General features: G+C 47.6%; 1 protein-coding gene and 1 long non-coding RNA gene across 20 annotated transcripts in view, besides 3 other annotated features; one reads left to right on the top strand and one right to left on the bottom strand.

The window, feature by feature from the left end:
• Positions 1 to 24,785, bottom strand: part of DAAM2 (dishevelled associated activator of morphogenesis 2) — a 112,494-nt gene that overhangs the window by 6,448 nt on the left and 81,261 nt on the right. For 13 of the 19 annotated variants that reach the window (XM_047418533.1, XM_047418537.1, XM_006715043.3 and 10 more), the window contains 12 exons: positions 22,954 to 23,092; positions 20,161 to 20,219; positions 19,834 to 20,018; positions 18,945 to 19,244; positions 14,353 to 14,460; positions 11,975 to 12,001; positions 10,830 to 10,936; positions 9,659 to 9,743; positions 6,975 to 7,081; positions 6,700 to 6,788; positions 1,442 to 1,610; positions 1,140 to 1,247 (listed from right to left, as the gene is read on the bottom strand). In XM_047418533.1, the coding sequence (XP_047274489.1) occupies positions 1,140 to 1,247; positions 1,442 to 1,610; positions 6,700 to 6,788; positions 6,975 to 7,081; positions 9,659 to 9,743; positions 10,830 to 10,936; positions 11,975 to 12,001; positions 14,353 to 14,460; positions 18,945 to 19,244; positions 19,834 to 20,018; positions 20,161 to 20,219; positions 22,954 to 23,092 (1,483 nt within the window). The remainder of the gene's footprint in view (positions 1 to 1,139; positions 1,248 to 1,441; positions 1,611 to 6,699; positions 6,789 to 6,974; positions 7,082 to 9,658; positions 9,744 to 10,829; positions 10,937 to 11,974; positions 12,002 to 14,352; positions 14,461 to 18,944; positions 19,245 to 19,833; positions 20,019 to 20,160; positions 20,220 to 22,953; positions 23,093 to 24,785) is intronic. The other 6 variants (XM_047418534.1, NM_001201427.2, NM_015345.4 and 3 more) reach the window with 1 other exon arrangement.
• Positions 307 to 823: an enhancer, noted in NCBI's record as "OCT4-NANOG hESC enhancer chr6:39865375-39865891 (GRCh37/hg19 assembly coordinates)". NCBI's record gives its function as "activates a minimal SCP1, AML or CMV promoter by ChIP-STARR-seq in primed H9 embryonic stem cells {active_cell/tissue: H9 hESC(primed)}" and the evidence as "EXISTENCE:reporter gene assay evidence [ECO:0000049][PMID:30033119]".
• DAAM2-AS1 (DAAM2 antisense RNA 1) lies at positions 1,042 to 9,632 on the top strand. The gene is made up of 4 exons (NR_125831.1): positions 1,042 to 1,225; positions 6,659 to 6,799; positions 7,043 to 7,116; positions 9,367 to 9,632. It is a non-coding gene; the product is annotated as a DAAM2 antisense RNA 1 (long non-coding RNA).
• Positions 1,124 to 1,623: an enhancer, noted in NCBI's record as "H3K4me1 hESC enhancer chr6:39864575-39865074 (GRCh37/hg19 assembly coordinates)". NCBI's record gives its function as "activates a minimal SCP1, AML or CMV promoter by ChIP-STARR-seq in naive H9 embryonic stem cells {active_cell/tissue: H9 hESC(naive)}" and the evidence as "EXISTENCE:reporter gene assay evidence [ECO:0000049][PMID:30033119]".
• Positions 9,574 to 10,773: an enhancer, noted in NCBI's record as "CDK7 strongly-dependent group 2 enhancer chr6:39855425-39856624 (GRCh37/hg19 assembly coordinates)". NCBI's record gives its function as "activates an origin of replication core promoter dependent on BRD2, BRD4, P300/CBP, MED14 and CDK7 cofactors, with strong dependence on CDK7, by STARR-seq in HCT116 cells {active_cell/tissue: HCT116}" and the evidence as "EXISTENCE:reporter gene assay evidence [ECO:0000049][PMID:35650434]".

Here is a 24,785-nt window from a genome sequence, read left to right as displayed (position 1 = left end):
GATGCTGTTGGTGCCCCACCCACATTTCCTTGGACCATCCATTGTAGGGCATGGCCCCAACTCTTCCAACTGTACGCACACTCTTTTTGAGGCCAAGCTCTTTCCACCTGTACCTGTGGCCAGAGAGTTATTCCCTGCCCCTGCAGAGCCCCTCAGCCAATTACTGAGAGGAGATGCTCTCTGATTGCCCCAGCAACCTTGCCCTTTGGGTGGGAAAACTGAAGTAACTATTCCACACTGTTTCCCAGAATTCCTCATGGGGTTAAGCACCAATTGCCTGTGATTGGTAACTGGCTTAATAATGTTTGTTACTGGCATTCTTTCTATCTCTGGCTCACTTCCCCATTCTTCTACTGGTATTTTCTGGAAGCATCTCTGAAATAAGGATTTAAGAGCAAATTGTCTTTGTTTGGTTTTTCCCAGAAGCAGACCCTGAGACATGGCCCATTCCTACTCAGCCTGAGGCAGGATAGGTAGTCAAGGAAGTGAGCACTTCTCAGAACACAGCAGCTGTGGTGGTGCCCATACAGTCAACACAATAAACCTCAGCATTCGCATTGTAATTGAGCTCATTCAAGCAAAGCTATCTGCAGTAGGGACTTTCCCCTCTGGAAAGCATGCGCATTTTGATTTTACCTATCCTCAGACTGGCCCTTTGCTCATATAATAGTAAAAAAACACACCCCTAGGTGGAGATTTAAGGTGCTAATGAGACATGCGATGTATGAAAAAGCACACACAGCTACTACACATGTGCACCCAGAGGACCACTCAGAGCCTGCTTCCCAATACCTCTTCCCACCTCTTTATGAATAATCGTGTAAGTCTCCCATACTGGGAGTCTTCCTGGTGCCAGTCTTGGCTGTCTCATCCTTACAAGCAGCCCACCCTGAATCCTCTCTCTCTCAGGGTGTACTGTCTATTCTGCACCTAACTCACAAGATATCTTCTTTTGCAATACATTGTTCTATGCTAAACCCCCTTTGCTGTGTGTCTGTTTAAATTCTTTTGAACTCAGAAGACAAGAACCGAGGTCTCACACCAGCCATCATCAAGCCCAGAGTAGACCCCAAAAGAGGAAAGTAAGACAAGAATGAGGGTCATCATGGGGAGAAGGAAGTCTTGGAGAGAACCCTCACTTGACTTTGGCAGCTTCTGGAAGATGTTGCAGCTCTGAAGGCATGTTTAGAATATCAGGAAAATGCTTCTCCAGGATCATGATCAGGTAATGGAGCAGAGAGATGTTTCTGTGGATGAAAGTCAGGTCAGTGGTAAGTGACAGAGGAAACTGGGCACGAGGGTCAGAGGGTCAGAGGATGGAGTGTTAAGAGAAAGGGGTGATGAGTCTTAGGATGTTCCCGTCCTAATAGAGGGAGGATGTGAGAGGCCAGGGTAGGGTGAGATAGAGGCCAAGGAAGTGGCCGGGAAGGGAGGTCCTCACCTGTCGATGCTGGACTTGGTGTCAGCGATCTTGTTGAGGCTGGCCACCCGGAACCCGTAGGCGCCCCCACGCTGCCCTTTGTTCATGAAGTTGCCTATGGCTAGGATGACCTCTAGCATCTGTCTAAGACGCTTGCTGCGGACCAGCTCCCGGGAGGCCAACAGGATGGCTGGGAGAGGAGGCACAGGTCAGAGGCCTGCATGGGCTAGGCAGGGCAGCAGTTCTCATTGCACCCCAGGAAGATGCCACCGCAAAGTTCAGAAAAGGGGCTGTCAAATGCCTTCAACTCTCAGTGAGGCAGAGATTATACCTACTCCTCAGCAGACCCATCGATTTCACATTCACCCACCTCCAGGGGAAGCAGACACATTCACCAAGGCCAATTCACCAGATACCCCATTTGTAGGACGTGCCAGCTCTTCCCAAGAAGACAATTTCAGAAGATCTTTTCTTACATGTATTTAAAGATTATTAAGAAGGCCGGTTGCGGTGGCTCACACCTGTAATCCCAGCACTTTGGGAGGCCGAGGCAGGGAGATCACTTGAGTCAGGAGTTCGAGACCAGCCTGGCCAACGTGGTGAAACCCTGTCTCTACTAAAAATACAAAAAATTAGTCAGGTGTGGTGGTGCATGCCTATAATCCCAGATGCTTGGGAAGCCAAAGCAAAAGAGTCCCTTGAACCCAGGAGGCTGAGGCTGCAGTGAGCCAAGATTGCCTCACTGCACTCCAGCCTGGGCAAGAGCATGAGACTCTGTATCAAAAAGAAAAAAGAAAAAAGAAAAAAAGATTATTCAGATATTCTTTCCATGAATATACTCATGAATATGACACTTTTACTTTTCTAAACCTAGCACTTAACTTCAGCATTTTACCTATTATGGGATTGCTTCTGCCTGTCTTGAAATGCTATATTCTATTGGTTTTTTGGAAAGAAAAAAAATCAATTAAATAACATATTCTAAATTATAATATTCTATTATTTTTGTTCTATAAAATAATGGCATGCTTTTCAGTTGATAGTGTCTAAGATTTGATGAAATAAGCTACTTGACATCCTGTTGAATGTCATTTTTAAGATTTTTCCAACCTTTGGGCATCTTAACCATTTTCCCCCAATGCTCTAAATGTTATCTTTGCCAGAAATACAAACTAAGCTAACAGTAACCAAAACTTCAATAATTCATTCTGCTGTGTATGCTCTGGCCCTTCCTCAGCTATGATGTCTTTATGGTGGGTGTGCAGAAGGGGGACACAAATCCTAAACTGAGATTTTGTCTACTAGTTACGGAATATGATTTTTGAATATTCAGTGTGGCAACAAAAAGACCAGATTATCCTGTGATCTGTGGCTTATGCCAAACTGAACATTCTTTAAGATGCTGCTAGGAAGATAAAATGAAAACGACTTTGCTAAAAGTTTGTAGAAAGCTTCGAACACAGTTAGAAATAAGTAACTGTTAAAAAGAAGCTATACCAGCACTTTGGGAGGCTGAGGCAGGCAGATCACCTGAGGTCAGGCATTCGAGAACAACCTGGGTGACACGGTGAAACCCCATCTCTACTAAAAATACAAAAATTAGCCAGGCGTGGTGGTGCACACCTGTAATCCCAGTTACTTGGGAAGCTGAGACAGGAGAATTGCTTGAACCCAGGAGACAGAGGTTGCAGTGAGCCGAGATCACACCACTGCACTCCAGCCTGGGCGACAGAGTGAGGCTCCGTCTCAAATAAATAAATAAATAAATAAATAAGTAAATAAAGTTGTAAAAATGAATAGTAAGGTTTGTCAGTAGCTTTTAAGTTGAACATGTACATACTCTATAACCTAAAAGCCACATTATTCTTGGTGGGTATTTGGGTTGTTTCTAGGTTTTTTAAATTCCAAATAGAATGGGTAAATTATGGTGTATTCATATAATGGAATAAAATGCAGAACTGAAAATGAATACCCCACTGCTACATGTAACAGCAGGGACAACCCACAACCATAATGTTGAGCAAAAGTCACCAGCCTAAAATTATTCATACTCTATCATTCCTTTCATATAAAGTTCAAAACAGGCCAGGCATGGTAGCTCATGCCTACAATCCCAGCACTTTGGGAGGCCAAGGTGGGCAGATCACTTGGGCCCAGGAGTTTGAGACCAGCCTAGGCAACATGGTGAAACCCTGTCTCTACAAAAATACAAAAATTAGCCAGGCTGGTGGCATGTGCCTGTAGTGCCAGCTACTTGGGAGGCTGAGATGGGAGGATACCTTGAGCCCAGGAGGCAGAGGTTGCAGTGAGCCAAGATCACACCACTGCACTCCAGCCTGGGTGACAGGGCAGGACCCTGTCTCAAAAAGAAAATAGGTAAAAATTTAAAAAATAAAGTTCAAAACCGATAAAACTAAACTAGCAGTCAAGATGGGTTTGACCTTTAGAGAGGAGGGAGGGGGGTAAAGTTTGGGAGGGGGACATGAAGAAGGCTCTGGGGGGTTGGAAGCTGTATTTCTTGACCTGGGTGTTGATTACACATGTGGTTCCCTTTTTTAATTCTTCAAGTAGGACTCTTATGATTTGTGTACTTTTCTATATGCATGTTATGTTTCAAAAATAGTTTATTTAAAAAGAATACTTGGGAAAGTTTCTGGCAATTTATATTGGTTGGGATGTTTTTTCTAAGGTTTATATGCTATTTGGAAAATCTGCAAAGGAATCCTCCTAAAAATGCTAAAATGTTGGCAAAACAGAAAATGACAAGAGTTCAAAGGAAATCAGTGTAAATGGGAAAACGCCCAGATGCAGTTCTGACATTTTAGATATATTCACAAGAATAATATATTCATGAATATATTCATAAGAATATTACATTTGCAACCATATTCATCTTGACTATATTCGGTGAATGTATTTATAATAAGAATCGGTAAATGTGGTATATTCAGCAATATATTCATAAGAAGAATATATTCAAGAATTGTAAGTTCATGAATATATTCATAGAAGAACTGGTAAATTTGTCAAATTTGGTGAACTAGCTTTTGGCAAATGGACTCAGAGCCCCTGCTGGGGATAGGAGGGCAGGTGTCAACAGCTCATCACACCTAGCTGGGATAGGCTAAATCTTAGCTCTTCCAGGAATACTTCCTGGGAGAACTGGAAGGAAGAATAAGAATCCCATCTTTGCACAATCCTCTTTTCTCCACTTATAGTCACACACACTGATCTGATTCTATAATACACAACTTTAGGCATATCTTTCCTATCTAGCTCTTAGAGGAAAGAGACTTATGTCTGGTCTATACAAGGACAGCAGCCATTGCTATACAGAGCAATTATTATAGAGCAGAGCTATAGAAGAGTAGCTTTCCCCAGCAGATCTTGCTATCCCAAACACATCTTACTCGGCTTAGCTTGATATCAAATGGAGACTCTTTCCTGAATATCCACTGACTAATTCTTTTTTTTTTTCTTTTTTGAGATGGAGTCATGCTCTGTTGCCCAGGCTGGAGTGCAGTGGTTCCATGTCGGCTCACTGCCAGCTCCGCCTCCTGGGTTCATGCCATTCTCCTGCCTCAGCCTCCTGAATAGCTGGGACTACAGGTGCCCACCTCCATGCCCGGCTAATTTTTTTGTATTTTTTAGTAGACACGAGGTTTCACCGTGTTAGCCAGAGTGGTCTCAATCTCCTGACCTTGTGATCCGCCCGCCTTGGCCTCCCAAAGTGCTGGGATTATAGGCATCAGCCACCGCACCCAGCCTCCACTGACTAATTCTTAGGCTCCTGGGAGCAGGAAACTGTCTGAGATTAAACCTTTCTGATGGCTAAGCTACTCTGGTTCCAAATCTCCAAATGGCAATTGCTCACATTTGTTCCACTGACCCAAGACATACAAATAGTTGTGCACACATGTCTTGGGCTGAACCCCTTACTTGTGCTGCATGCTCCAAAGGCAGTCTGCAGCAGGATGAAAGAAAGTTGTGAAGAAGATAAGGATTCACCCATCACCAGGGCAGGAGATATGGCCAGACCTTAGAAATAGAGAGTCACTGCTGCTCTCTTTCCCTCTTGATTGATTATCTATGCTTACCACCTGCAGGTCCCTTGCTGTGTGTGTGTGTAGTGTGAGGGGGAACAAGATCTGATTACAGAAAATGTCTGCCTTAGCTCTGCATGCTCCACCCTATCCATAGACTATCCCTGAAGCATCTCAATGGATTTCAGGAAGGGTTGCTCTCTGGACTGGGCATCTCAGGGAGTACTGACTGGCCCTGGTGTCCAGCAGGGGGTGCCCATGCTCTGTTCTGCCCCCAGCCTGGTAACCTCAACATCCTGGAAACAGGCTTTCTTGCTCCACTCTGCTGACCCTGTCCTCCCCACAAATGAGCCTCCCAGCCTCTCCTGCTTATTGCCTCCTGGGTCCACATGTCTCTGCCCACCGTCCTGACCTCCTGCCTCTCCCAACAACTCCACGCCCCTCCCTGCTGTGCCATCAGCACAGGCAGCCCCTGGGGAGTACTAGGGGACAAGAGGGAAGGGACTGATTTTGAAGATCAGCATCTGCATTCCTACCCTGGTTCCACCACTCACCAGTGTCACAGCCTCGGGACATTAACACAGCCCTACTTTAGAAAGGAGAGAATGGAGCCACATGGAAATTAATAATAGCACCCACCCGTGCGATTGCTGTGATGACCAAATGAGGACCAACCAAGCAGAGTGCTTCACACAGTGCTTGGCGCATGGTTCTCATTGAACTACAAATTTCTCATCTGGAAATGGCCTGTATTGGAAGTGTTCCTGACTCAGAAAATCAGATGCCTTTAGAAATCAGCTTGTGCAATTTCCTACTTTCTGAATGGCTCACACTTAAACTAACGTGCCCAGAAGTCTTCTATGAGCCTAGTACCTCTTAAGTAGAGTAAAGACTGATGAGCTCAGTCCCAGCCAGGCACTGTTGTAGGTGTGGCTATTATTATCTTTTCTACCTTTCCATCCCATGCTGGGGCAGATGTCAACAGACGCCCCACCTTGGAGAGCTTGCATGCTGAGGCATAAGGAACATGTCACAAGGTTGGCGCATGTGCTAATATAAGCAAGTGCATATTTTTATAATAATCATCATTTTAGATTTTGTCTTTGACTTTTTGTTTTTGTTTTTGGGTTGAGAATAAGAAAGGGGTTTCCCTCTGCCCCTATTCACTGGCTCCCACCCACCCTGCCTTTCTCAGATAACTCTCCACTCTAAGCCTCCTGCAACCCTCAGCCCTACCTTCCACTTTGGGCTTTGCCTCAGCCAGCCGCTCCTGGAATTTCTTCTTGAAGAAGAGGGCTTGCAGTCGCTGCTGGTAGTGGTCAATCCTGTAGACAAGGTGAACCATATCTTGAGGTATCCCACCCCTATCCTGGCCAGCCCCAGCTCCCGGAGCCAGCTCCAGTCTCCTCTCAAGCCTGCCCACCTCCATCCCCTTCCTCTTGGCAGAGCCCCACCTGCCCCACCTGCCAGAACCCCACCTGCTTGAATCCCCACCATGCCCATGGCCCAACCTGCTCATTTCATAGAGGAAGCGGTCAGCACGGGCCATCCGCTCAATTTCATGCTTGTGCTCCTCCAGGAGGTCAATGTCACTCTTCTCTGGGATGAACTTGAGGAGCTGCAAAGAGCAGGCGCAAGTCACACAAGCAACTGGTGAGCAGCAGACATGGGGTACAGGGTGTGAGAAGCTGTACTGACTTGGGTCAAGATGGGGAGGGTGCCTTGAAAGAGGGAGGCACCCTCATGTGGACAGATTTCTTTCATCTGCCTGAAGGGGATGACAGGGCACACAGCTCTGAAATTCTTTTTTCTTTTTTAAAATTGAGATGTAACTGATATACAGTATTTCTTTCTTTTTTTTTTTTTTTAATAGGGTCTCACTCTGTCAATCAGGCTAGAATGCAGTGGTATGATCATAGCTCACTGCAGCCGTGACCTCCTGGGCTGAAGCAATACTCCCACCTCAGGTCCTGAGTAGCTGGGAATATAGGCATGTAGCACATACTGGGTTAATTTTTTTTATTTTTTTATTTTGTAAGACTGGACCTCACTACGTAGCCCTGGCTGGTCTTTACCTCCCGAGCTCAAGCAGTCCTCTCACTTCAGCCTCCAAAAGTGCTGAGATTATAGGTGGGAGCCACCACGTCTAGCCTAAAGTACACTATTCTTCAATGTACAGCTCAGTGATTTTTCTTTTCTTTTAAACAAACTTGAGGTATAGTCTACATAAAATAAAATGCACCCATTTTAAATGTGCAGTTCAGTGATTTTTGTCAAATCTCCATCCATTGAATCATCATTCAGATTAAGATAGAGAACATTTCCATCCCCCAGGAAAGTTATTTTTCATCACTTCAGTAAGCCATTCAAGTGAATATAGGCTCTCAACTGAATTCTAGGACCTTAGCCAGATTTGCCTGTCCTTGAACTCATGCTGTATGCTCTCTTTTATGTCTGACTTCTCCCCAGCATAATGTCTAAGGTTCATCCATGTCATGGTAGTTTATTTATTGCTGAGTAGGATTCTACTGTATGAATATACCACAGTCTACTTATTCACTTTCCTATTGATGGACAGTTGGGTTGTTCACAGTTCGGGGAATTTATAAATAAAGTTGCTATAAATAGAGTTGGCCCCTGAGTAACACAGGGTTGAACTGTGCAGGACCACTTGTATGTGGATTTTCTTCTGCCTCTGCCATCCCTGAGACAGCAAGACCAACCATTCCTCTTCCTCCTCCTCAGCGTGAAGACAATGAGGATGAAGACCTTTATGATGATCCACCTCCACTCAATGAACAGTGTCTTTTAATGATTTTTTTTCTTTTTTTTTGATGGAGTCTCACTCTGTTGCCCAGGCTGGAGTGCAATGGCACCATCTCACCTCACTGCAACCTCCGCCTCCTGGGTTCAAGTGATTCTCCTGCCTCAGCCTCCCAAGTAGCTGGGACTACAGGCATGCACCATCACACCTGGCTAATTTTTGTATTTTTAGTAAAGATGGGGTCTCACCATACTGGCCAGGCTGGGCTTGAACTCCTGACCTCAAGTAATTTGTCCACCTCAGCCTCCCAAAGTGCTGGGATTACAGGCATGAGCCACTGTGCCCGGACTTCCTTCTAATAATTTTCTTAATAACGTTTTCTTTTCTTTAGCTTACTGTGTTATAAAAATACAGCATATAATACATGTAACATAAAAATATGTGTTAATTGGTTGTTTATCTTATCAGTAAGGCTTCTGGTCAACAGTAGGCAATTAGCGGCTAAGTTGTTGGGAAGTCAAAAGTTATATGTGGATTTTTGACTGCATGGAGGGTCAATGCCTCCAGCCCCCACATTATTAAGGGTCAACTTTATTCTTGTGTATTTATTTTAGTCAGTATTTGTACTCATTTCCCTGGAGTTATACCTAAGAGTGGGATTACTAGGCAATAGGGCGGGTATATGTTTAGCTGTAGAGTGTACTTCCAAGTAGTTTTCCAAAATAATTGTGCCAAATGAGAATTCCAATTGCTTCACATCCTCGTCAGCACATGGCATTGTCAGTCTTTTTAATTTTAGCTACTCTAGTGGGTGTGTGGTGCCCCCTTATTGTGGTTGACTGTATTTCTCTGATAACTAATCATATTGAACACCTTTTCATATTCTTATTGTCTATTTGGAAATCCTCTTTCATGAAGCACCCCTTCAAGTCTTCTGCTCATTTTTAAGTTGATTTCATCATTTTCTCATTGATTTGTAGAGTTCTTTGTTCTGAATATGATCTTTGTTATATGTATGTATAGCAAATATCTTCTTCTAAGGTTTGTCTTCTTTTCACTCAGTAACCATGCCCTTGATGAACAGAAGTTCTTAACTGTAATGAAGTCCAATTGATGATGTTTCTTTGTGTGTTTTCTAGGTTTCCCAAAGGATCCAAAAAACTGAGAGGGAAGAGATTTGGGGAAGATGTCACTTTTCCTCATCTGACTTTGCCTTGGAGTCAGATGGGAGAATGACTCCTGGAGAACACTTAGCCTTTTCCAGCTTTCCCCAAGAAAGGCTGGCCCAGGGAGGCTTCTATAAACCTTCTCCCTAACTCTTCCAGCCTGATTTCTCCTTGACCCAAGAATCGCAGCCTCCTGGGGGCTGTTGGGAAGGGGCGTGGCTGCCCGCTGGGTTCAGTTCCCCTTCCTTCCCACGAGGGTCCTCACCTGCTCCAGCATGTCCTTAGCAAGGTCCTCCTGCTCATCCATCTTCAAGATGGCCTGCCGGATCTCCTCGTTAGAAAGCTTCAACCTAAGGCAAAACCCCACCTCAATCCAGGACAGCCCTCAAACCTTCTTCTCCAAAAGGTACCACCTCCGCCTTCCCTCATTCCCTAACAGGACTTGGGAATATATTTAATAGTATTCCCCCCTCACCTCCTCTACAAAGCCTTCTTAGATTAGACTAGTATGATTCAGTCCACAAACTTGATAATGAGCATTTTAGTGTCAAAATAGAGACGTGAGGGTCTCTGTTCTCTTGATAATCCATCAGAGCTGATAGGGGCATTTGGGAGTAAAAGAGATGTCTTCAATGTAGACCAAAGGGACAGGGCAAAGGGTTCCTGATCCTTCTCCTCCTCCTCATGCTTAAAAAATGCACAGCATCTCCACGGGAGGACAGGATTATCGGCAAGCCACTAAGAGGGCAATTTCCTGCTGCCTTCATTCTCAGAACACAGAATCGCTCTCAGTCTTCTGACAGCGCCTCAGCTCCCACACAGCTGTCCCAATCAGTCTTGCTGTCTGGGAGAGGGAGAAGCCACACACCCCCATAGCCCTTCCCTATCCCCTCCACATGCACCCCCATTAGGAACCCTGGGGATTCAGAACTCTTTCCACCATCAAGTGGGGGAAACTGAGGCCTGGGGGCTTGTGAGAAGAAAGGGAGGAGGATGTCTCAGAGGCGGCTGGGGCAGCACTAAGAATAGTATGGGAGGTGGTGCCCTCTGACCCTGCTCAGGCAGGAGGCCCCCCCGTACAGAAGCTGTGCTGTTAGCGCAGATACTGCCCTGTTTGTTCTGCAGCCGCGGGAAATGCTTAGGGGCTGAGATCATGCTGCTCCATGGCCTGAGCCAAGCGAGGCCCTCCGTGGGCTTAGAGCAACTCAGCTGCCAGACGCTGACCAGGCTGGGCAAGGGCCTCGTGACTGGGCAGTTTCCTGCCTGCAGAGCCCCAAACTGCTGCTCAAGGCAGGTTCCCGAGAGACAGTTCCAGATCAATGCCTGCCCCTCCCAGGGGACAGCAGAGAGGGAGAGGCCCGAGACTGCCACCACTCCGTTCCTCCACCCCCTTTGTCCCCCAGGCATCCAACTCAACCACCTTCTTTTGCACATACTTGGAAAGAAGGATGATGCAGTTTTGGGCCCTCCGGCCATCAATGACCGACAGCTCTTTGACCTTGCGGGAAGCCAGGTAGATGTCTTCAGTGGAGCCCAGCTCTTTCTGCAACCAACAAGTCAAGTGGACAGTTGAGGTGTGGGTTCCCTAATCCTCCTCTTACCCGCCCCGCAAGAGCCACCTCCTACCAATCCAGGAATGCTCCTGGTGTGAGGGGAAGGGGGAAGAAAAAGACAGGAGAGAGAGGAGGGTGGATAATAGCTAACTTTAAGAGACGGTATCTGGGACTTTTCCATAGGCTCCAATGGGTTGGGGAAGGACACCGAGAAGCCCCCCTTCCTATTTTTTTTATTTTTTTAGAGATTTTTTTTAGAAATTATCCACTCTGGGCAATGAGGGAAGGGGCTGTGCCAGTGGGTCAGGGTATGACTGATCTCTGTGGCTTTGGGCAATGTGACATAACCTCCCATGACTCCAACAGAATCAACTCCCATTCCCACTGCCCAACCCAGAGGCCCTCCTCAGGCTTATGCTGAGAACCTGGTTGCAAACCCCCCTAGGGAACAGTTGCTGACTCCTAGGGACTTCAGGCACAGCCCAAGATGCCCAGGGTAGAGAGCATCCACAAGTTCAGAGGTATGGAAACTGAAGCAGAACTCTCTCCTCTGAGTCCCAGCAGGCAGATTCTGGAGAAATCATTGATCCCGCCCCACTCCTTCTCTTGGGCCCCTGGCGAGGTAGACAGGAGGCTGTCTAGTGTGCTGTTCTTCCTCTGGGAGGTCCCTCTTGCACAACTTCAGGGGCCGCCTTGCATGGTTATCTTTGTGAATTGTGTCGTGCCTACCCTGTGTGTCCTTACAGGAAAGGCTCTCCTTTGGCCTGGTGGGTAAGACAGTAGACCTAGAAGCCTTCTCCTCATTCCAGGAGACATTGACCTCCACTGCTGCCAGGGGTCTATTTGATTACCTCCCTCTGCTACATTTCTTCTTTCTCTTTGGGGGCCCTCTCCCATACCACCCTGTATGAATGGGGAATAAGGTAGAAAGTGGAATGGACAAGTCCTCTCTGTCAGGCCCAGTACAGAGCAGCAGCCCGGGACAGCAGTTAAAAGTTGGAGTGGTCAGAGCCCCGAGAGTAACTCACCTGCTGAGAAGGATTAGTTATCAGCTCCTAGGCAGCAGCCACAGCCAACAGAGAATTAAACATGCACAACATTAGCCAAGACATTTGGGGACCCAGAAATAGCATGACAGACACAGGGATCCCTCAGCATCTACACTGTCCACTTCATCCCAGTGAGACCCATGGTTGTAGACAGGCACCCATAAGTGGCACTAGACAGGAGCTGCTTCTAGCAGACATGCACTCACGGAGAAGCCAAACGAAGCGGAGATCAGGCAGCTCCTCCCATCTGCCTAGTGCGACCACCACTCCCCAGTTAGGGCAGACCAAACCCCTGAGTTCTCCCACCCCAGGCTTTGCTGCCTGTTCTTCCTTTTCCTCTGCTGAAAACCTGCAGAGAGGGTGGAGGACATTCCTCCATCCTGGGATGAGTTCACCTTTCTAAATAGAGGAGGAGTCACAAATGAACTCGATCTGGAAGCTCCAGAAAGTTGTGTTTACTGAGGCAGAGAAAAGCAAGTGCCCTTGAATTTGCTCACTGCCCCTCATCTGTCCTTTGATGTGCAAGGGGAACTGAAGAGGCACAGCACGCACCTCTGTTCTCCCTGACGCCGATGGAGTGGAAGCTACTGACTCAAAACTCGCATGGGGCACAGAGAAGACCATGACTCCCAGGACCTCCCCTGCCCCACAACCAACTGAGAGAAGAGGCAACAAGGTTAATACGGCCTCCGGGATCTCTCCAGTCCTGCTGCTGGGATTTCAGTCCCAGAGACTAGACGGCCCACTGAGTGAGGGGAGGCAGGTGATTGGACTGTGTGGGCTCAGAGAGGTGAGGGGGACAGGACAGGGGGTCTTTCAGTCTTAACTCTTCTCAACTCACCAAGCTGGGAGGCCCCAGACCCAGTTTGTACAAAATCCATAACCTTCTTTCCTGACTGGCCCCATCCCAGCCTCACCTCAGGGCCCTGGAGCCTGAGTAGGCTGGGCCAGAGTCCTGTCCTGCAGAAAGACTCTCAAATGAGGAGGTGGCCTGCGATCACCAAGCCTGGTATGCTTGCCACACACTCCTCTGTCCTCAACCCCACTCGTGGAGAATTGGCTCCCAGGAGCCAGTGCTCAAAGAGTTCCTTTCAGCTCCAGCAGCCTTAGCTGCCAGCCTGACATGGGCATGGGGTTAAAAATGCCTCCTGGAATTAGGAGTAGAGAATCCGATGCTGTGGGCACCCACATTTAAATTAAATAAGCAATCATCTGGCCAGAGCCCTAGGAGCGGCTGCATGTGTCCTCAGTCATCCACAGATCAGGGCTGGGCAGAAAGTGAGCTAGGGCAACCTCTCCAGCTCAGTGGGGAGCCAGGCCACAACAGCCAGCCATTGCCAGGACCCACTCATTGGCACCCAGGGAAACCCTCAAGACTGAGATCCCAGGCTAAGTAAAGAAAACAAGGAAGATGGTAGCCCAGCCCCAAGAGGGAGAAGTCCCTCTGGGGCGGGCCAGAGATAAAGCAATTCCCTGAGGCTTCTAAGCTGGTCATTCCCCAAATGGACTTAGAGGGAAGGCCCCTAGCTGCTAGTTACCAGGCGGATTCCTGGGCCCCAACTCATCTCCCGAATCACATTCCAGGATGAGGTCTGAGAAGCAACCCTTTTGGCAGTCCCCACAGATACTCGGCACAGTTTCAGATTCCCACCTCAGGAACACCCTGCGCTCTGCCACCAACTCACCCCCTACTTTCTCTGTGACTGGAAGACCAGACTGCTGGCAGCCACCTGCACATAGAGCCTTGAGAGCAATATCCAAGGCTTCCCCGGGCCTTCCCAGGCCCAGGCCCAGGCCCAGCCCCAGCCTCAGCCTCAGCCTCAGCCCCCTGAGTGACATGGAGCAGCACCTTCTGCCTTCCTTGCAAGGCAACATCCCCTGCTCGGTCTCATAGAGGTGTTGACAGACAAAATGTGGTGGAAAAGTGGTTTGAGAAGTTATTATGCCTTCTAAGCCTAGTCCCTAAATCCTGGGCCAAAGACAGCAAGGGTCCACAGTGGTCAGGCCTTGCGACTCTACCTCCGATGCTCCAGGATGGAAGAGAGAAATGGACAAAACACCATTTCAATACTTGGTGTATAAATATGAACCATAATACAAGCATATTTCCCCCTATGGTCTGTGCACCTCTACTTCATACCTACATCCTCAGCAAGAATAAAATCATCACCTCATAAAGAATAAAATCATTCAGTATACATGTGAGGAAGGAAGGAAAGAAGGAAGGGAAGGGGAAGATGGAGGAAGGGAAGGAAGGAAAGGAAAGGAAAGGAAGGCAGGCAGGCAGAAAGAAAAGGAGAAGCTGAGGTTTGGATTCAAGGGTATGGTCCAAGAGGCCAGAGGGTATAGGGTCTTACCTGGTGCCTCTGGTAGGCTGAAAACATCTTTTCAAAATCCTCTAGGTCCAGGATCCGAAATACCTGCATGTCATCAATCTCATTCCATACGGTGCCAGGGACACGCTCCTAAAATTCAGGGTAGGGAGAAGATCCCATGGTTGGCCCAACTCCATCATGAAGATGCTCCATGCCTCCCTAACCCCACTTATCTCCCAACTGCACATACTAAGATGACCAGGATTTCAGACCTTCAGAAGGTAGTCGGTTGCTCCCCTCAACCTCCAACTCTCTTGAATACTCTGCTCCAGGGTAGAGGCCAGAGACAACCCCCTTTTCCTCCCTTGTGCATGGAGCCACATGTAAACATGTTCTAGAAATCATGGGGGGTGCTGGGGGGATGGGTAGGCAGTAGGAAAGGGGGTCCACTTCACTTTTTCCAAAAGCAAAGTCAGAAGCTGCACTCAGGGTACTTCACACAGGCCCACTCCCCCTAAAGGGCAGGTTGCCTGGAGTCACCCCTGTCCTTGGCAGCCATCATTGGAAGATTAAAGCCATACATATTTTGGATCCTCAAAGCTGCAGCACGGACTGTATTTATGTATCTCAGATGGTTGTTTTCTTTCCCAAGGGTCTTCCTCCCACTTTCCCAGATTCTCAGAAAGTGGACAAATACCAAAGTTTGGGACCTGGCACCTGTAGTGACACTGCTGAGACCAGCAAGACTCTGCCACAATTTCCCTTTGGTCAGAGCCAGGGAAGGTGTTACCATCCTTTACAACTGGGATATGTCCAGGGTTTTACATTCCAAGGTCTCTCCATTTAGGCCTTGCCCCATCTCTGTGTAGGACCCTTGCACTAGGGTCTGGATCCTGGCTGTTAGTCAAGCCAAAAAAAAAAAAAAAAGCCCTGGCAGTCTCGTAGCACCCTGCTGATGGTCCAGAGCACAGCCAGCCAAGCTCCTGACAGGGTGTTCCAACCCTCCCCTCTCAGGAATCCCCACCTCATCTAGAGCTTTGCTGTCCTTCAGCATAGAATCTCTCTGCCTTCCTCTACCTAGAGCGCAGCTGGGGAACCTTGTTTAATGCCTCCTCTTCCTCCCTACAACCCCCCTCAGAAAGACTTGGAGAGAGAAACATACCTTTCACTCACTGTTATTTTCTTAAACTCTGGAAAGGGGAGGCTAGGCCAGAGTCAGGGGGTGGGGACATTCCTGTGGCCTTCTGAAGGCCAGGGACCCTCTTGTGGAATGCCGGCTGGGAAGCTTGGAGCAGCAAGGGATACAGGCAGCTGGCCAACCCCAACACAGATGCATTCTTTTCATGGCAGAAACAACCACTGTGTATGAGTGTGTGTATGTGTGTGTGTGTGCGTGTGTGTGTGTGTGCGCTCACAGAAGCACACGTGGGATAGGGGAAGGGACTAGGAGAGGCGTCGGGCTTCTGGAAAGGGGTGTGGGAGGCAGAGAGATGAGAAGGGAATGGAATCAGGGAAGGCAGGGACGGCGCTGGCTGAAGCAGTGTGCAGCCACAGTCTGATCTGCAGGGAGGCCTCCCTCTGCAGCTAGGACCAACGTGGAGGTAGGGAAGAGAGAAGCCTGCAGAGGTAAAGCTTCCCATCCTTCTCTATTCTTGGTGAGGCTGGGGTGAGAAGAAACGGGCTGCAGCGAGAGAGCTGGCTGCTTCACACGGGAAGAATTTCCCATGAGACAGCTGACTAAGCTCGGGCTCTTTCTCTCTCTCTCACTTCTTCCCAAACATTGCCCAGCCCACCCCCAGCTTCCAGCATCTGCCAGAAGGACTTGAGGCTCTTCGAGGAGGTATAACTGAGGTCTGGAGCCAGAGAGCGGTAAGTCTGTTCCTAATATTCCCTACATGTTGACACTCACCGCGTCGCCCTGATGTGCCCACCTTGCATAATTTTCAAATTTAATTTTCCCACCACTCTGGCCAAGAGCCCATCATCTCTAGTCTAGACTCCTGGGACTTCTGCCCGCTGGAGATATCCTTCACATGCCAGGGAAAGCTTTCTCAAAAGCATGTTTCATTATGTTTCCCCCGTGGTGCACTGCCTTTGGGGTCAGGCGGGCCTAGCTGGCTGACGCTCCCAGCCCTGCCATCCTGTGGGACTGTGGGAAGATGGAGGGATGAGATTTTTCTCCCATGTCACATAAAAGGAAACTGAGTCTCCATGATTTTTTTTACCTCACCGAGATGACGTGAGAAGTGAGATAACATACTTCAAACATACATGGTAGGGCCACTAATAATAATCTATTTATTATATGAAGACTTTCTATGTGTCAGTCACTGTTCCAAGTACTTTGTATGTAGGAAATCAACTAATCCTCACAGCAATCTCTTTTTTTTTCGAGACGGAGTCTTGCTCTGTTGCCCAGGTTGGAGTGCAGCATGTAGCGGTGCAATCTTGGTTCATTACAACCTCCGCCCCCCAGGTTTAATTCTCCTGCCTCAGCCTCCAGAGTAGCTGGGATTACAGGCGTGCGCCACCACACCCTGCTAATTTTTGTATTTTTAGTAAAGATGGGGTTTCACCATGTTGGCCAGGCTGGTCTCAAACTCCTGACCTTGTGATCTGCCCGCCTTGGCCTCCCCAAGTGCTGGGATTACAGGCGTGAGCCACCGCACCCGGCTACAATCTCTTGAGATGGACATTATTATTGCCCCACTTACAGATAAGGAACCTGAAGTCCAAATGATTCCATAACCTGCCCGTCACACAATTAAAAGCTTGGCATTGGGGTGATAAGTTCTCAAATGTTATTCAAAGACCGTTCACCTTGCTCTACTTCTCCAAATATCCCCCACTGTCTATTCCAACAAACCCACACTCTCCAGTCTAGAAATGAAACTCTGGCCTGCTCTGGGCCCCTGGGCAATCTGTATAGACCTTACTATTACTGGACCCAGAGAAACTCCTGAGCACACAGCTTCATATGATGAAAATGTTGCACAAATATTGCTTGCTTTAGCTGTCTTCCTTCATTATTGATGTGCATAACTTTTTATTACATCTTTAAAATCTTACATTATAAATTGTGACAATAGGAGACAGAATGTTATTTCTCTTTTTACCACAATACAAAATGTTATTTTCTGACCATGAACAATGAACCTTTCTGCACGTTCTGCAGAGCGGTTGGCCTACTCATGTGCAGTTTGTCTTTCTGGCTCACCTCATGGCCACAGAGCACCCACAGGGCACAACTGTGCAGTGCACCTGTCACCAACCTCAACAATCTTGCTTTGAATGCTGCTAACAGGTGGCTCTAAAGCTTAAGTAACTCAGATTGGAGATGTTATCAGAGGCCCGGGAAACTACAAATGGACTGTGTTTATGCTTCATCTTTCCACCTAGATTATAAAGCCAGAGGCAGAGGGAATTTTTGAGATCATTTCACACATGAGCAAACTGACTTACAGACAAGTTGAGTGATTTACAGAGGTTGTACCGCTAAAGCTACACCTGGTTTGGTTAGAACCTCACCCTTAACTCATCTCAGGCTCTCTAGGGGTTTCTTTGAACATGCTTCCTAATTTGGCAGATCCTAAGCTCTGAGAGGACAATGTCATTTTATTACTATCCATCATAGCCCCCAGCACAAAGCTTTACAAAAGCAGACTTCAGATTGACAGGCTAGCTGGTCTACCATTAGGAGAAGACCCCTGGCAGATAGCTGACCACCTACTTAGCAATCTTGCATCTCTTCCCACTTGACTCTGCATTTGAGCTCACTGAAGCTCAAACACATGGTACAGTTATGAGTTCCCCAAGAGCCAGTCCAACAGGCCCATGGGATAAAGGTCAGTGTGGAATCCATTCATCCCAGCTTCAAATCCCAGTGAGCCAACCTAACTGAAACCAGTTACCATGCAGGTCTTTACTTCAAGGACAAAGCTCCTAGTCCTCCTAATAGGACTTGCCATTGTGCAGAACCAGAGGCAGGCCTTGGTCCAGGCTGGAACTGGCCTTCGATTGCTAGAGGTCTAATGCAACCAAGGGCGTCTCTACTCTATGCTCATGGGAGTCCCATAGAGGAATCAAGCCCTACCTGTGGTTCTGGGATTGGTGATTATTAGTGGATAATACTCATGAGGATCTCTCACTGCTGGTCCAGACATGAGGCCAGTGTGTGCAGCTTCCCCCAGGAAGATGCCAAAATAGCTATGTCTTGCCATCAAACTCTTTAGTCCTTTGTATACATTGTCCTGATCTTTACCAAAACCTAGATGCTGGCCCAAGCTCTTTGCTTATTTTTCCATCCTTTCCTTCAACTGGACCCTGTCCTTGAATTCTACTCAGTGTTTGTCTTGGCTGTGACTCCATTAACCCTGGGCAAACACAAATTCCATTTGTAGATGACTTTGTCAACGTCAGCATTGCCCAATGTCAAGCATCTCTCCCAGGGTAGGTGTTCTGACCGTGAGCTGCCTGGCACAGCAAACCCACTTTGTACATCCACATGACTGCCCTTACCCCCCACCAAAGAAAGGACCCAGAGTGGAGATCTGTAAACAAGGGGCGGGTGGTCCCTGAGGCTGACTGCCCTGCTGTAGAAGAATGGGCCCTCCAGCCCCTTCCCAGATGCTCACCTCATTCAGCTTCACCCAGTTGAAGGACTTCAGTGGGTGAGAAGGCTGGGGGACACGCTTTTTCCTGAGTGGGACGTCACTGCTGGGGTAGGGGTCCTGAGGGAGGGGCAGGCCCATGCCGAGGCAAGGTGGGGCACCTGGGGGAGTCGGGGGTCCCCCGGGAGGAAGGGGTGGTGGTGGGGGAGGGGGACAACAGGCAAAGGGCAGAGGAGGAGGGGGTGGAGGCAGGTCATTGGTTGTCATTGAGGAAGACAAGGTGAGTGGGCCCCCAGGGGGTGGTGGGGAAGATACAGGGCCTGTCTGTGAGGAAACAGAAAAATTGCAAGGACAAAGCCATCAGCACCGTTGCCATTCAGGTCTCCCACCATGATTCCTCTCCTTCTAGTTTCTTTCTATACTAGGCCCCAAATCCTACCCTTATCTTCTACACACATTTGGCCCCATTTTCTCTCTCTGCATCCAAACATCTAACACACGCAAACACACACACACCACCACCACAGACACACACACGTCACGCACACGGACACTGGACAATCAGAGTCATAGCCATCACAATGCAACAGCAGGACTGATCTATGCAGTTGTGTAGGTTACTGACTGCACAAGATCTCCAGCTGAGAGAGGGAAGTGGATCCAATTCCAGCTGCACTCTGCTGTCCAAGGTGTGCTTCCTGGCACAGTGTCACCCAGAGGAAGGGACATTATTTTTCTAACACAAAGATGCCACCTGTACAGCCTCAAGGGTCTCTTCTATCCTGGCCCAAGGTCTCCATCTCCCTTCTCCCTCATGCTGGGGTCCTTGGCCTCTCCGACACCTGCTCTGCCCACCCAGTCCTGAAGCCCAGGGTCTTGGCTCAACTATGTAAAGGGGGAGATGCTTGCATACTGAGAGTTCACTGAGCTGGGCTACCAGCTCTGCCACTTGTCCCCGAGCCTGGCGCAGCTCCTGGGACTCCCGGGCCAGCTTGTCCTTCATTTTGTTCAGCGTCCGCATCATCTCTTCCTTCTCCAATGTCTTTGTCTCGCATTCCCGCTCCTTCCTCTCCAGACGGCTCACAAGCTCCATGTGTTCTGGAATGGGGGTGGGACGGGAGAGGAAACAGAAGGAGAGAATGTGAGTAATGTGACTCCCTGCCTGGAAGGGCATGGAGTTATGGGCTGGGCAGGGGAAGGGCATGTGGAGTGGACAGCAGGCTTAAGCAGAGCCCCTCACCTTTCCGGAACTTCTCTGCCTGGTCTCGCCACTGTTTCACTTCATTCTCGTTGATGAGCCTGGCAGGGCATAGAGGGAAGGGGCAATGTGATTGTTGACCATTGATTCACAGCTTCCCAGGAGACATCATCTTTCTACCCTCCAGGTGGGGACCCTGGTCTCCAATCTGTCCAGCCACATCAAGGGGGCTAGGATTTAGACTTCCCAGGTGTCTCTCCAGGTCCCCTGCCCCGTTCACATTATGTGTCTGTGGAGACCGTGAGAGAAAAGACCTTTAGATACCCTATAACCCGGCCCCTTTGTGATACAGCCGGAGCCACTGAGGCTCAGAGAATGGGGATAGGGCAAGAGCTAATTAATGGTAGAACTAGGACTGAACCTCAGGCTCCCAAGAATTATATCATGACTTGCACCTCCTTGTAAAATAGGTTTTACCTTTAAAAGAGATCAAAATATTGGCCCTACCATGGTCCAGGTTTCCAAAGACCAATGCGTAAGAGCAAGAGACATCACCCACACCAGCAATACAGACTGAATGTGTTCAGAGTGACACAGAGGACAGCCTTGTTCATGCCAAGCTCTTGAAACTGTGTTCAAATTTAGCTTTTACCTTGACACCAAGGCCTAACAGAGGTGAAATCCCAAAGCGAGATCCCAAGAATCCTTTCCTTTATAAATCTGAGAATGTGGAAGAGTTAGACCCATGACTTTTGGCCTCTTCAGCCACATCAAGGACATAGAGAACAGAGTATGGAGAGGGAGAGTATTTCATGAAGACATTTCTTTGAAGAGGGCCACTGCTGTTATCCCCAAGATGCTACCTCCTTCACCACCATCCAAGGAAGGGGTTTCTTTGGGCCTTCCCCAAGAGTTTTGACTCATGTTCCCTGAAGTTGGGAGGGAGGTAGGGTAGACTGGGGCCCTACTTGGAACCAAGCAAAGCCCTGGGAGCAAAAGAAGAACACTGCTGTGTGGGGCCCTGCCAGCACTCCTAGAGTTCGTTGGCACAAGAGATGGCATGAGGGTTGCCCATGGGTCAGATATAAGCCTCATGGAGGAACTGGGGTGCAGTTTTCACAGTCCTGTGCAAGGGGAGCTGTTTCCACCTGAGCGAAAAGTGGGAACATCCACACCATAAGTCTACAGGCAGTGGACTGCCAGGGAACCAGGGACAGATGGAAGAGCTGGAAGCAGCCAGCCAGCTGGAACAAAAATCTTGCATGGCCAGTGAGCTGGGTTTTGTAGTGAGAGGCACCCAGCAAGGAACTTCTGAAGATTCCAGGAACACACTGACGTCTTTACCCATATGCCAAAAAGGCAAGAGAGCAGGGAGCCTGTTTACTAAATTATCTTATCAAGTAAGACCTTTTCCCTCTTTCCTTCCTGTCCCCAGGCTGCCTCTTCAGAGGGTCGGACTGGTTTGTAGAAAGGAGGGGTGGGAGATAGAAGGGGTTACAGGGTAAATAGAACAGAGAAAAGAAGGCAAATATCACACACAGACATATGTGCACACATATGCACATACACACACGCACACACACACACACACACACACCCTTCCCATTCCAGTTTCCTGGCCCCAGCTGGTGGAGGAGAAAGATTTAAGGCTAAATCATGTCTAGAATGTCATGTCATGATTTTAGTCCTCCTAGTTGTAGATTTCAGACTATGTTGCACTTGAAAGTGATCTTAGGACTCCTGTTACCCAAGAAGGGTTAAAAACTTCATTGGACCTCAGGAGTTTTTATCCTCTGGCAGTGGAAAAGATTGCCTACTAAATAGTGTAATGAATTGGTAGGAAATAAAACTAAAGTCACCTTTTGATCACTTTCCCAGTTGCACTTGTCCAACATACCAATTAGGATTTTAACTACATCAATATCTGACTATGCAAATGAAAACAGTAGCAAGAATAGCTGGAAAATAATTGTGTACTTGGCTTTGGAATGCAACATAATGAATCATTGACAGCCAATTTATCTCCTTAAGGGCAAGTGGCTCAAACTCATACTGAAAGTTAAGTAAAAGCTTAAAATTAAAAATTAGTATGTTAATGTAAGGCCTTATTATTAATTGATGTAGATTTAAATGTTTCTCTGTGTTTCTCTATCCAAGATCAATAAAATATGGTAAACCAGAAGGCCTTAGGCTCTGATAACCTTATCCAGCAACCTCATGATCAAATGGTCAGGCTCTATGTCAGTGGTCAGCAAACTTTCTATAAAGGGCCAGAGTAAATATTTTAGGTTTTACATACCATGCATAGTCTCTGTCACTTATACTTGTGTGTGTGTGTTGTTTGAAATGTAAAAATTATTAGTTCATGGGCCATACACAATAAGCTGGAGGACTGGAGTCAGCCCATGCACCCATAGTTTGCTGACCCTTGTTCTACGTTAATGTGTTTAAATTCCCCATCTATCCAAGCCATGCAGTGGATCGTGGAGAGTTGAGAACATGCCCAATACACCTGTGTTGGCTGTCCAAGAGAGTAATCACTAGCCACGTGTCATGTGGCTATTGAAATTTAAATGAAACAACCTTTAAGATTCAGTTCCTTGGTCATACTAGCCGTGTGTCAAGTACTCCATAGCCACATTTGGCTGCCATGTTGAACAGTAGAGAAATGCACTTTTTTCATTAGCTTAGAGAGTTCTGTTGGACCATGCTGCCCAAGACTCATTTCGGGATGACTGGGTTGCGAAAGGGAGCTGAGGTTTCGCTGGTGAGACCAGAGTGGGAGAGTGATGAGGAAGGTGGAGGAAGACAGGGCAAAGGCTGGCCACTGCTCACATGTTGACGATGTTCTTGACATTGAAGTTCTCCAAGGGAGCCAGGTCAGGGTCCACACCCCGCTCATCCTGGAGGACAATCTGCTGGAGGATGCGGTCCAGGAGCTGCCACTGCTGGAAGTAGCCACCGTTCCGTTTGTCTGAGGGATGACAGGTATCATATCTTTCCTGAGTCCTGAAGTCCCCCTTGGGCCCCACCCTAGAGTTGCTGCCTGGGGTCTGGCTGGTGAGGCATGCCCTTCTCCACCTATGGTAAGCTCCCAGTCTAGAAGAAGAGGCAATGCCATTGCTGATAATGGCAACTCACTGATTCAGTCATCTCTTGATTATCGGCAACTAGACTTCTACGGATGTGTCAACCACCTCCCCAACATATTTCTCTACTCCCTGAAATACTTTCTGGCTGCCTTTCTTCCTTGTTTGGACCCTGGGCATACTATGCCCAGGAAGTGCAGATTGCTTTTTACATTATCTATAAAAACCACCTGCTCCAAAATATTACATGCTGAATAATGAAGTCTCCAGGGAAGTTTTTTTTAAAAAAGATTTTAGGATTATCCACATTATTACTCTACAGAGAAAGATGAAGGGAAACTGATTGCAGGTGTGCACTGAGAGTCAAAATGGGTTAGAGAAGTGCTTAATGGAACTCGAGAAAATTTCTTGTGGAAGTGACCTTGAACTATGAAGGTAAAGGCATAGTGTGTTGTGTGTGATCTCATAGAGTCTCACTCTCATCCCCTCTAATGATAGTCATCTGGCTGGACATGGACTTCCTTTTTATGTAATAACCACAAACTCTCTTTCCTTGGTCCTTGATCCCTAGCACTTTATTGACCATCATAAAAAGCCAACAAGTTCAATCCTGACATCAAAGCAAACCACAATGCCTACAAGGTAGAATATCGAGTCTGCAAAGCCCCATTTTGGGGCAGAGTAGAAGAACCCATTCACATTGCCCATGGAACAGGAAACACAGGAATCCCTGGGAGCACAAGAAGTCAGGTTTCCCAGAGATTTCTATGCCCTTCATGAAGACCTGCTGCAATGAGCTTTGGAGAACTGATAGCTTCTTAATTCAGGTCACTGCATCTATCCTGTCCACAAGTCTACTGACACATGCATTGCAAAGTTGTATCATTTACCATCTACTTTTCACCCAGCAAAATCGTGTAAAGCCAGGTCACTAGCTCAAAGAGGCAGAACATGTTTTATCTCAACCCTTGACCCCGCAGAAACCAAAATTCTTTCTATATGTAAATATCTCGCTGAGCCTCAGGTTCACTCACTATTCAAATGGACATAATAATGTGTATTCCTTAGGTCATTCTAAGGTTCAGAGATGATGTGCTAAAGGACCTCACATCACGCCTGGCCCAGAGTTGGCACACAATAAGTCACAGTTGTCATCACTGTCACTATGATTGCTGACACCGCCAACATCAACCATTATGGTGGGCCACACTGGTTTTCAAAATATTCTCTTTTGTGAAGAGCTTAAGTACCAAGGGGTACAGTTAAAGCTCATTTCAAATTGCATTCTGGAGTGGCTATTAGCAATTATGTACAATTTATTCAATCACTGTGCACACCTGGATCTTAAGAACTTAGCCATCTGCTCCCATAGATGCTGACATTTGGTATTTGTAGGCAGAAGCAGGGGCAAGAGTGCAAGAGTGGAAGCCAACAAGGACTAGATGAAGGAGTTGATAAAACCTTAAGGAAAAAAACAACCATGTTCATTCCACATCTGTGCTACTCCCCCAAGCACAAAACTTTTTGGAACTCCCCAGCATGACTGATCTCTCCCCCGTCATGAGCTGAAAGCTGAGC

The sequence above is a fragment of the Homo sapiens genome, chromosome 6, assembly GCF_000001405.40.
Source record: "Homo sapiens chromosome 6, GRCh38.p14 Primary Assembly".
NCBI classification, from domain to species: Eukaryota; Metazoa; Chordata; class Mammalia; order Primates; family Hominidae; genus Homo; species Homo sapiens.
The sequence above is the reverse complement of the archived record's forward strand: the minus strand, read 5'-3'. Positions and strand labels throughout refer to the sequence as shown.